The 12,875-nt window shown below is 40.6% G+C and overlaps 1 protein-coding gene across 1 annotated transcript in view, besides 1 other annotated feature; it reads left to right on the forward strand.

Annotated features, from left to right (window-relative positions):
* Positions 1–6,753, forward strand: part of UTP20 (UTP20 small subunit processome component) — a 106,514-nt gene extending 99,761 nt beyond the window's left edge. Inside the window, exons 58-62 of the mRNA NM_014503.3 lie at positions 1,275–1,346; positions 3,176–3,448; positions 3,678–3,804; positions 5,718–5,863; positions 6,103–6,753. Coding sequence (NP_055318.2) covers positions 1,275–1,346; positions 3,176–3,448; positions 3,678–3,804; positions 5,718–5,863; positions 6,103–6,258 — 774 coding nt within the window. The 3' untranslated portion in view covers positions 6,259–6,753. The remainder of the gene's footprint in view (positions 1–1,274; positions 1,347–3,175; positions 3,449–3,677; positions 3,805–5,717; positions 5,864–6,102) is intronic.
* Positions 6,176–6,390: a silencer, noted in NCBI's record as "fragment chr12:101779819-101780033 (GRCh37/hg19 assembly coordinates)". NCBI's record gives its function as "represses an EF-1alpha promoter that drives an FKBP-Casp9 reporter gene in an ReSE screen in K562 erythroleukemia cells {active_cell/tissue: K562}" and the evidence as "EXISTENCE:reporter gene assay evidence [ECO:0000049][PMID:32094911]".
* Positions 6,754–12,875: the final 6,122 nt, after the last annotated feature.

Consider the following 12,875-nt stretch of genomic DNA (forward strand, 5'->3'; position numbering starts at 1 on the left):
CTGGCGTGCAGTGGTGTGATCTCGGGTCACTGCAACCTCTGCCTCCCGAATTCAAGGGATTCTTCTGCCTCAGCCTCCCGGGTACCTGGGATTACAGGCACACGCCACCACACCCAGCTAATAAGTTCTTTATCGGCATTGGAAAATAAGATAAATACTGTCTGTCTTGCCTCCTAATAACCTTGTTGATGATGTAAATGAGATCACGTTCATGAAAATGTCAGGGTCCAGGCCAGGCATGGTGATTCACATCTGTCATCCCAGCACTTTAGGAGGCTGAGGCAAGCAGATCACTTGAGCTCAGGAGTTCGAGACTAGCCTGGGCAACATGGCGAAAACCTATCTCTACAAAAAGTACAGAAATTAGCTGGGCATGGTGGTGTACACCTGTAGTCCTAGCTACTTGGGAGACTTACATAGGGGGATCACCTGAGCCTGGGGAGGTCAAGGTTACAGTGGGCTGTGATCATGCCACTGCACTCCAGTCTGGGCAAGACCGAGATCTTATCTCAAAAAAACAAAAAGAAAGAAAGAAAAGAAAAGAAAATGTTAGGGACCATGATATATGTGTCTCTGGTTTCCTAGGTCCTAGCACAATGTCTCACTCATAGTGGAACCCCATAAATATTGAATGAGTGGAGGGTAGAAGGGAAGAAAAGAGGAAGAAAAAAATATTGGACTGTAGTAAAGTGCTCTACTAGTAATGTAGAGGATTGGCCGGGTGTGGTGGCTCATGCCTGTAATCCCAACACATTGGGAGGCCGAGGTGGGTGGATCACCTGAGGTCAGGAGTTCGAGACCAGCCTGGCCAACATGGCGAAACCCCATCACTACTAAAAATACAAAAAATTAGCTGGGTGTGGTGGTAGGTGCCTGTAATCCCAGCTACTTGGGAGGCTAAGGCAGGAGAATTGCTTGACCCCAGGAAGCAGAGGTTGCAGTGAGCCGAGATCACTCCAGTGCAGTCCAGCCCGGGCCACAGAGTGAGACTCTGTCTTAAAAAAAAAAAAAAAAAAAAAAATGTAGAGTATTATTACCTGTTTCTCCCCAAAATGTGAAAGTATCCCATTTATTTGGGATGAAATGCTTAGGGCAGGTAGAAGGGAGCAGTACACCACTTCTGGTCATGAACCTTTCCTCTCCAAATCTATACAGGTGGTCATTCAGAGCAAAATCCAGTACGTTAGTTGTATTACAGTTATTATGTTTAGCTTTTTAAAAACAATCAGAAATGTCCTGTGTTTTGTCTACCAATGTCCATTTTCTTTTCACAGATGAAAAGTATCTCTCTCGCCTCTTGCCATCAATTGCATTCCAAATTCTTGGATCAGTCTCTAGGAGAACAGGTAAGAATTGTAGTTCTCCCAGTTTAAAAGAAGGGGCCGGCTGGGCATGGTGGCTCGCGCCTGTAATCCCAGCACTTTGAGAGGCCGAGGCGGCCAGATCACCCCGAGGTCAGGAGTTCGAGATGAGCCTGGCCAACATGGCGAAACCCCATCTCTACTAAAAATACAAAAAAATTAGCAGGGCATGGTTGCGGGTGCCTGTAATCCGAGCTACTTGGGAGGCTGAGGCAGGGAGAATTGCTTGAACGTGGGAGGCGGAGGATGCAGTAAGCCGAAATCACGCCACTGCACTCCATCCTAGGTGACAGAGCGAGACTCCGTCTCAGAAATAAAGAAGGGGCCTATTCTATCAACAGTCTAAGCTTACATTTGTTATTTTGTTTTGTTTTGAACCTATCTTAATGCTTGGGGGATTAGATGAAATACAGACATACACTCAAATATATGTTCAAATACACATATGTCTTGTCAACACTGGGTCTGTATTGGGATTACTCTTTGCTCCATTTAAAATTCCCAATAAGGGTCTGGGTGCGGTGACTCACGCCTATAATCCCAGCACTTTGGGAGGCCGAGGCAGGTGCATCACTTGAGGCCAGGAGTTCAAGACCATCTTGGCCAATATGGTGAAACTTCATCTCTACTAAAAAGACAAAAATTAGCTGGGCATGGTGGCGCATGCCTGTAGTCCCAGCTACACAGGAGGCTGAGGCAAGAGACTCACTTGAACTGGGGAGGCAGAGGTTGCACTAAGCCAAAATCACCACACTGCACTCCAGCCTGGGCAACAGAGCTAGACTCTGTATCAAAAAAAAAAAAAAAAAAGAGAGAGAAATAGTTATTTCTATGTAGAATGGCGGAAGGAATTTAATGGAGGTAGAGATGAAAGCTGTTGTTAAAAATGTAAAATGGGGCTGGTGTGGTGACTCTCACCTGTAACATCAGCACTTCAGGAGGCCGAGATGAGCAGATCTCTCGAGGCCAGGAGTTCAAGACCAGCCTGGCCAACATGGCGAAACCCTGTCTCTACTAAAAATACAAAAATTAGCTGAGCACGGTAGCCTGTAGTCCCAGTTGCTGGGGTGGCTGAGGCATAAGAATTGCTTGAACCCAGAGGCAGAGGTTTCACTGAGCCGAGATCGCACCACTGCACTCCAGCCTGGGTAACAAAGTGAGACTCTGTCTCAAAAAATACCCAAAAAACAAAACAAAACAAAACAAAAAATGTAAATGGAGGGCCTAGAAGGAAATTGTTTCCTTATTCTGTGTGACTTTAAAGGGTAGAACTAGTCCAGATAGATCAAAGTTACATGGAAATGGGTTTGGATGCCCTATGAGGAAGAACTTAAGAATGATCTAGGCCAGGCACGGTGGCTCACACCTGTAATCGCATCACTTTGGGAAGCTGAAGCAGGCAGATCACCTGAGGTCAGGAGTTTGAGACCAGCCTGGCCAACATGGCGAAACCCCGTCTCTACTAAAAGTATAAAAATTAGCCAGGCATGGTGGTGCACGCCTGTAATCCCAGCTTCTCAGGAGGCTGAGGCATGAGAATCATTTAAACCTGGGAGGGGGATGTCACAGTGAGCCGAGATTGCACCACTGCCCTCAGCCTGGGTAACAGAGTGAGGCTCTGTCTTTAAAAAAAAAAAAAAAAGGAATATCTAAAAATGGAGCCTTCATCATTTAATAGTTGTTAAATAGTTGTAATACCTAGTTTGTTTTTGTTTTCTAATTGTAGAATACCTATTTTAGCTTATGCTCTACTAAGCCTTATTTATTTCAAAATCAATGTCCAATTTCTTCCCCCACCCCGTTTTTTTTTAAAGGTTGTTAAGAATTTGTTGTTCGCAGCCAAAGTCTTGTATTTACTGGAACTTTATTGTGAGGATAAGCAAAGTAAGATAAAAGAAGACCTGGAAGAACAAGAAGCTTTAGAAGATGGTGTGGCCTGTGCAGATGAGAAGGCGGAGTCTGACGGAGAAGAGAAGGAAGAGGTGAAGGAAGAGCTCGGCAGGCCGGCCACGCTGCTGTGGTTGATCCAGAAGCTGTCCCGGATTGCAAAACTGGAAGCTGCTTATTCGCCGAGAAACCCCTTAAAGGTGCGATGAATGCACAGAATGACTGACAGTAGTCATTTCTCTTTAAAAAGTATTTTAATGATATTAGTGATCCTCCTAAGTCCCTAGAAACTTTATCTTTGAACCCCAAACTGCAGCAATAACATCCGTCCCAAAATAGACTGAGCCCTGTTTTCTCAATTAATGCTGTGTCTATGATTGAGTGCTAAAGAGAAGTCTTTCAAATGAAAAAAATGATCTGTACTTTCAGAGAACATGCATCTTTAAGTTCCTCGGCGCCGTAGCAATGGATCTTGGGATAGACAAGGTAAAGCCGTATCTCCCAATGATCATAGCTCCTTTGTTTCGGGAACTCAACAGCACCTATTCAGAGCAAGGTAACCCTGCCTCGTCTGTTCTCCTGCCTTTTGCACATGAGGATTTCTAACTTCTCTCCTGAATGTTTCCTTCTTCCTTTCTGTCCTCCCTCCCTGCCTGAGATTTATTTTTATTTATATATATATTTTAATTATATATTATATACTTATATATGTTTATATTTATATATATACACACACACACACACACATACATTTAAAAAAGAGAGAGAGATGAATAGTGGTCTATGTTATGCCAGGCTGGTCTTGGTCTCAAACTCCTGGCTTCAAGCAGTCTTCCAACCTCAGCCTCCCAAAGTGTTGAGACTATAGAAGTGAGCTACTGTACCCAGCCAGAGTTTATTTTTAAAAAGAAAACTTATATCAAGATAATTAACAAATAGGCATATTTGTATTATATTTGATTGCCCTCTTCTGTATGCTTTCTGCTGTCCCAGAAAGAATGTTTCTCACATAAAAGATGATGCTTTATCCTCAACATAGATTAAATAGTCAAAGAAAACTATGGTTCAGGGTAGTTTTAAACCTCATAGCACAATGAATAATAATGAATAATAAAATGTCATTACATTCTCATCTTAAAAATTATAGGCTGGGCGTAGTGGCTCACGCCTGTAATCCCACACTTTGGGAAGCCAAGTTGGGAGGATCACTTGAGCCCAGAAGTTCAAGACCAGCCTGGGCAACATGGCAAAACCCCATCTCTACAAAAGATACAAAAATTAGCTGGGTGTGGTGGTGCACAACTATAATTGCAGCTACTTAGGAGGCTGAGGTGGGGGGATCTCTTGAGGCTGTGAGGTCGAGGCTTCAGTGAGCCGTGATTGCACCACTGCACTCCTGCTTGGGCAACAGAGTGAGATACTGTCTCAAAAGAAAGATTATATGGCAAAAATATAAGTATTATCATTTTTATATGAAATAGTTTTAAAATATCATTTTAACATTTCTTCTTTTTCCTTGCCTGATACATTTCCCTCACTTATTCTAATTGTTGGTAATAACAGGTAAAGAGGGAACTGGGGGCAGGAAGGAAAGGAGGTAAAGTGAATGTTCAGAGTTTGAAAATAAAACAAATGAAGCAAATGTCAAAGCAAGAGCTTTTACAGTCCTACAACCTTGGGAGAAAGTTTCCTCACTCTTACAAAGGAAAAAGCAATGGTAAAGGTTGAGGCTGCTGACAAAAGCAGGTTCAGGTGTGCTTTGGTTCAACCCAGTCAACATTTAATGAGCATCTAATATCTGCCAGGCACTAGGGATTCAACAGCAGGAAAGTTTTCAAGAAGCTTGTGATCTAGAACAGATGTCCTGAGCTCCTGTGAAATTGAAATTGGGGGTTATTTGTATATAGGGGTGAGTGGCAGAGAAGGGTGGGAGAAATGGCTTTTTTGTCAACTTCACAAAGGAGGCTTTTGACACTCCCCCGCCAAAAAAAAAAAAAAAAAAGTTACTGTGGGCAGAGCTAAGCCTCTGTGACCCATCATGGATTAGAGAGGGAATCTCTTACTTTTCCCCCCATCTGCAAGAGCTCAACAGGTAAACAGAGGTAATTCAAAACGTTTCTGTCAAGGTCCCAAGTTACTTTAATGTCTTCAGGGCCAGGTTTCCGCTGGGAAGTGGGCCTCATGTTCTCTGATTTCTTATTGCATCCTGGGTGAGGTGGTGGCTGGAGTGCTATGTCTAGCATTGCTGGTTTCCCCATCCCAGGAACATAGAGGCTAGTTTTATATCAGTGTTTAATGTTGAAGTAACAGTGATAATGCTGCAAGAGTTGAAATTTTGTTTTGTTTTATTTGGGGTTTCTTGCCAGATCAGTAGCTGGATATAAATGTTGTACATATTGTTGATTTTGTTGATGTTCAAATGTGTCCTTTCCTACCTGTCTCTGATCATTACTCTTTGTGTGTGATTAGATCCTTTGCTGAAGAATCTATCCCAGGAAATCATAGAATTACTCAAAAAGCTGGTTGGGCTTGAGAGCTTCTCATTAGCCTTTGCCTCTGTACAGAAACAGGCTAATGAGAAAAGGGCACTCCGGAAAAAGAGGAAGGCCCTGGAGGTAAGTTTGCTCTTTGAAAATATGGCATGTTCACTGGACTTGATAACTACTAAGTGTGCATGTTTGTGTCACACTTACACTTAGGGAGGATCAAGGGTTTGAGCGGTTGGGGACTTTATAGCTGGGACTTCAGATTTTCTTTAATGAGCATGTGTTTTTTACATTTATTTCTGTATTTGATTCTTATTGGTTTAACATTTACTTTAAAAGTAATATAAAATTTCTATTCTCTTTTCCAGTTTGTAACTAATCCTGATATTGCTGCCAAGAAAAAAATGAAGAAACACAAAAATAAAAGTGAAGCAAAGAAGAGAAAGATAGAGTTCCTGCGTCCAGGATATAAGGCCAAGAGACAAAAAAGCCATAGCCTGAAAGATTTAGCAATGGTGGAGTAATGTCTCCCTGTGCTGATACAAGCATGAACTTTCTGGAATATTCTGCTAGTCTGAAATTACAGTAGGTTGTCTGGGGTAGGGGGGAGGCGTTTTTTTTTTTTTTTGAGACAAGGTCTCACTCTGTCACCCAAGGTGGAGTGCAGTGACGACATCACAGCTCACTGCAGCCTCAACCTGGGTTCAAGTGATCCTCTCACCTCAGCCTCCCAAGTAGTTGTGCCTCCTAGGCACACAACACTATGCCCGGCAAATTTTTTGTATTTTGTATTTTTTGTAGAAACAGGATTTCGCCATGTTGGCCAGGCTGGTCTCGAACACCTGGGCTCAACTGATCCGCCTGCCTCGGCCTCCCAAAGTGCTGGGATTACAGGTGTGAGCCACCCTGCTCAACCAGGTTTTATTATTTAAGTTAGTTAAACTTTGGATAGATTGTATAATATATAGTTTAATGTAATCATGCTCATATTTTTTAAATAAATAAAACACTATACTACTGCTGGGTCTTCACTGTTTAAAAAGCATGTGACACTAGTCAGAGTTTAAAATATAATTTGTAAATAAAAGGATACATTTTTAAATAGCAAGAAAAAATGTAGAAGTTAGCAATTAATCAAACAAAAGATTTGCAAATACTGCTCTATAGTACTTGCTAAAATTTTAGGAAAAGGCAGTAAGAAAGATCTGCACAAACGGAACTATAACCATGTTCTTGGCTAGGAAGATTCAGGATCATAAAACGCTACTTCTTTTTCCCAAGTTGATCCTTTGGTTAAATGTGTATCTGAGCAAAATCCCAAGAGTTCTTCACGTTAACCCAACAAGCTAATTCTAAAATGTATATGGAAGATGATATTAAGCCAAGAATAACCATGACACTCTCACAAAAGTAGAACAGGATGAGGGGCTTGCCCTATTGGATATCAAAAGTAAGACACAAAAACTATCTATAGAGAGAACGTGTAATAAATCCTACTTCATTAAGAACTTCTGCTTAGGAAAAAACACAAACTGGGACATGGCATACAACACATACTGTTAAACAATTAGTAGTACCAGGACATATAATGAATACTGATGAATCAACACAGATAATCTAGTGGAAAAAGTGGCAAAAGAGAGAAATGAGCATTGCACAAAAGGAGAAACGTAAATGGTCCTTAAACATTGTTAGCTGATATGGCTATAACTTTTTTTTTTTAAGTATTATGCACTGCTTGGTAAGTCATTACATTGAGACCCCCAAGTGCCACCCTGGCTACATGAGGTTCTTAGATTACATACCTTCTCACACCAGAAGTTAAAGAATACCTGGATTAGTCGGAGTCCTACTGTACTAGCTATGTCTAGTTGTTAAATTGTTTGAGTCACTCCTGTATTTAGCCTCATTAGTAATTAGGAAAATGCCAGTTATCACCAGAATTAGATTCCATTTTGAAATCATCAGATTGATAAAGCTGACAATACCAAGTGCTGGCAAGCATGGTGGAGCCATAGGAAATCTTATAAACCACTTTGGAAAGCAGTTTGACATTATCTTGTAAACCTGAAGACAGGTATACTCCCTGATCCCAAATTCCACTCCTAGAGAAACCATGAACCATGGATCTGAAGAATGTTCTTGAACCATTACTAAAAGTCAAGAACTAGAAGCAATCCAAATGTCCTTCCACAAGAGAATAAATAAAATGGTTTATTCATATACTGAAATAAAGTAGCGGAAATCAGCTAATTATATATATATATATAAATATAGATGATATTCTAGAAACAATGTTGAGTGGGGGGAAAAGAAAAATTAGAGTTGAATACCACTGTAATAAAATTTTGTGTACATATATAAATCTGTAGAAAAAAATTAACGATTTCAAAGTTTTCAGGATAGAAGGTACTTCTGAGAAGGAATAGGATCAAGGGAGAAGAACATGGTGGGGTTGGGGGACTTAAACTGTCCTCAAACTGTTCAGTGTCTTACATTTGGTGCCAGATTTCCAAGTTCATAATGCTTCATTACATTACTTTCTGTACATAATATATTTCCTGATAACATTTTCTAACGTTCGGCCAAAACCACATTAATACAAAGTTATTAGTACAAAGAAAACAGGTGGTTTCTTTGAAACTTTACTTTGAAGGCAAATTGGATAAAGAGTCAAGACCCATCAGTGTGTTGTATTCAGGAAACCCACCTCACATGCAGAGACACACATAGGCTCAAAATAAAAGGATGGAGGAAGATCTACTAAGCAAATGGAAAACAAAAAAAGGCAGGGGTTGCAATCCTAGTCTCTGATTAAACAGACTTTAAATCAAAAAAGACAAAGAAGGCCATTACATAATGGTAAAGGGATCAATTCAACAAGAAGAGCTAACTATCCTAAATATACATGCACCCAATACAGGAGCACCCAGATTCATAAAGCAAGTCCTGAGTGACCTACAAAGAGACTTAGACTCCCACACATTAATAATGGGAGACTTTAACACCCCACTGTCAACATTAGACAGATCAACGAGACAGAAAGTCAACAAGCATACCCAGGAATTGAATTCAGCTCTGCACCAAGCGGACCTAATAGACATCTACAGAACTCTCCACCCCAAATCAACAGAATATTCATTTTTTTCAGCACCACACCACACCTATTCCAAAATTGACCACACAGTTGGAAGTAAAGCTCTCCTCAGCAAATGTAAAAGAACACAAATTATAACAAACTATCTCTCAGACCACAGTGCAATCAAATTAGAACTCAGGATTAAGAAACTCACTCAAAACTGCTCAACTACATGGAAACTGAACAACCTGCTCCTGAATGACTACTGGGTACATAACGAAGGCAGAAATAAAGATGTTCTTTGAAACCAACGAGAACAAAGACACAACATACCAGAATCTCTGGGATGCATTCAAAGCAGTGTGTAGAGGGAAATTTATAGCACTAAATGCCCACAAGAGAAAGCAGGAAAGATCCAAAATTGACACCCTAACATCACAATTAAAAGAACTAGAAAAGCAAGAGCAAACACATTCAAAAGCTAGAAGGCAAGAAATAACTAAAATCAGAGCAGAACTGAAGGAAATAGAGACACAAAAAACCCTTCAAAAAATTCATGAATCCAGGAGTTGGTTTTTTGAAAGGATCAACAAAATTGATAGACCGCTAGCAAGACTAATAAAGAAAAAAAGAGAGAAGAATCAAATAGACGCAATAAAAAATGATAAAGGGGATATCACCACCGATCCCACAGAAATACAAACTACCATCAGAGAATACTACAAACACCTCTATGCAAATAAACTAGAAAATCTAGAAGAAATGGATACATTCCTCGACACATACACTCTCCCAAGACTAAACCAGGAAGAAGTTGAATCTCTGAACAGACCAATAACAGGAGCTGAAATTGTGGCAATAATCAATAGCTTACCAACCAAAAAGAGTCCAGGACCAGATGGATTGACAGCCGAATTCTACCAGAGGTACAAGGAGGAACTGGTACCATTCCTTCTGAAACTATTCCAATCAATAGAAAAAGAGGGAATCCTCCCTAACTCATTTTATGAGGCCAGCATCATCCTGATACCAAAGCTGGGCAGAGACACAACCAAAAAAAGAGAATTTTAGACCAATATCCTTGATGAACATTGATGAAAAAATCCTCAATAAAATACTGGCAAAACGAATCCAGCAGCACATCAAAAAGCTTATCCACCATGATCAAGTGGGCTTCATCCCTGGGATGCAAGGCTGGTTCAATATACGCAAATCAATAAACGTAATCCAGCATATAAACAGAACCAAAGACAAAAACCACATGATTATCTCAATAGATGCAGAAAAGGCCTTTGACAAAATTCAACAACCCTTCATGCTAAAAACTCTCAATAAATTAGGTATTGATGGGATGTATCTCAAAATAATAAGAGCTATCTATGACAAACCCACAGCCAATATCATACTGAATGGGCAAAAACTGGAAGCATTCCCTTTGAAAACTGGCACAAGACAGGGATGCCCTCTCTCACCACTCCTATTCAACACAGTGTTGGAAGTTCTGGCCAGGGCAATTAGGCAGGAGAAGGAAATAAAGGGTATCCAGTTAGGAAAAGAGGAAGTCAAATTGTCCCTGTTTGCAGACGACATGATTGTATATCTAGAAAACCCCATTGTCTCAGCCCAAAATCTCCTTAAGCTGATAAGCAACTTCAGCAAAGTCTCAGGATACAAAATCAATGTACAAAAATCACAAGCATTCTTATACACCAATAACAGACAAAGAGAGAGCCAAATCATGAGTGAACTCCCATTCACAATTGCTTCAAAGAGAATAAAATACCTAGGAATCCACCTTACAAGGGACGTGAAGTACCTCTTCAAGGAGAACTACAAACCACTGCTCAATGAAATAAAAGAGGATACAAACCAGTGGAAGAACATTCCATGCTTAGGGATAGGAAGAATCAATATCGTGAAAATGGCCATACTGCCCAAGGTAATTTATAGATTCAATGCCATCCCCATCAAGCTACCAATGACTTTCTTCACAGAATTGGAAAAAACTACTTTAAAGTTCATATGGAACCAAAAAAGAGCCCGCATCGCCAAGTCAATCCTAAGCCAAAAGAACAAAGCTGGAGGCATCACGCTACCTGACTTTAAACTATACTACAAGGCTACAGTAACCAAAACAGCATGGTACTGGTACCAAAACAGAGACATAGATCAATGGAACAGAACAGCGCTCTCAGAAATAATGCTGCATATCTACAACCATCTGATCTTTGACAAACCTGAGAAAAACAAGCAATGGGGAGAGGATTCCCTATTTAATAAATGGTGCTGGGAAAACTGGCTAGCCATATGTAGAAAGCTGAAACTGGATCCCTTCCTTACACCTTATACAAAAATCAATTCAAGATGGATTAAAGACTTAAACGTTAGACCTAAAACCATAAAAATCCTAGAAGAAAACCTAGGCAATACCATTCAGGACATAGGCATGGGCAAGGACTTCATGTCTAAAACACCAAAAGCAATGGCATCAAAAGCCAAAATTGACAAATGGGATCTAATTAAACTAAAGAGCTTCTGCACAGCAAAAGAAACTACCATCAGAGTGAACAGGCAACCCACAAAACGGGAGAAAATTTTCGCAACCTACTCATCTGACAAAGGGCTAATATCCAGAATCTACAATGAACTCAAACAAATTTACAAGAAAAAAAACAAACAACCCCATCAACAAGTGGGCGAAGGACATGAACAGACACTTCTCAAAAGAAGGCATTTATGCAGCCAAAAAACACATGAAAAAATGCTCACCATCACTGGCCATCAGAGAAATGCAAATCAAAACCACAATGAGATACCATCTCACACCAGTTAGAATGGCAATCATTAAAAAGTCAGGAAACAACAGGTGCTGGAGAGGATGTGGAGAAATAGGAACACTTTTACACTGTTGGTGGGACTGTAAACTAGTTCAACCACTGTGGAAGTCAGTGTGGCGATTCCTCAGGGATCTAGAACTAGAAATACCATTTGACCCAGCCATCCCATTACTGGGTATATACCCAAAGCACTATAAATCATGCTGCTATAAAGACACATGCACACGTATGTTTATTGCGGCACTATTCACAATAGCAAAGACTTGGAACCAAACTAAATGTCCAACAATGATAGACTGGATTAAGAAAATGTGGCACATATACACCATGGAATACTATGCAGCCATAAAAAATGATGAGTTCATGTCCTTTGTAGGGACATGGATGAAATTGGAAATCATCATTATCAGTAAACTATCGCCAAGAACAAAAAACCAAACACCGCATATTCTCACTCATAGGTGGGAACTGAACAATGAGAACACATGGACTCAGGAAGGGGAACATCACACTCTGGGGACTGTTGTGAGGTGGGGGAAGGGGGGAGGGATAGCATTGGGAGATATACCTAATGCTAGATGACGAGTTAGTGGGTGTAGTACACCAGCATGTCACATGTATACATATGTAACTAACCTGCACGTTGTGCACATATACCCTAAAACTTAAAGTATAATAAAAAAATAAAAACAAACTAAAACTGTAATAAGTCACACTTATTTAGAGGTGGCTCAAGTTGTTTCTGTTGTTCAACCACATAGCATCTTTTGCCTCACCCTATACTTGATGTGGAAGAAATATTCTTTAGTGCCCCATATATTTGGGGACATATGGGGTGGGAAATCCACCCTATGTGCCAGGCACTTTGGATACATTTTGTTTAATCCTAGTACTCCTGAGAGATTTCTACAATTGGTTCCTATTTTACAGATGAAGAAACTGAGACTCAGAGTAAATAACTTGCCTAAGGGTGATACAGGATGTAGGTGCTACAATCAAGATTCAAAGTCCATGCTTTGAGCTGAGCGTGGTGGCTCACACCTGTAATCCCAGCACTTTGGGAGGCCAAGGCAGGTGGATCACTTGAGGTCAGGAGTTCGAGACCAGCCTGGCCAACATGATGAAACCCTGTCTCTACTAAAAATACAAAAATTAGCCGGGCGTGGTGGCACGGCACCTGTAGTCCCAGCTACTCAGGAGGCTGAGCCAGGAGAATCGCTTGCGC

Source organism: Homo sapiens, chromosome 12, assembly GCF_000001405.40.
Source record: "Homo sapiens chromosome 12, GRCh38.p14 Primary Assembly".
Lineage (NCBI taxonomy): Eukaryota > Metazoa > Chordata > Mammalia > Primates > Hominidae > Homo > Homo sapiens.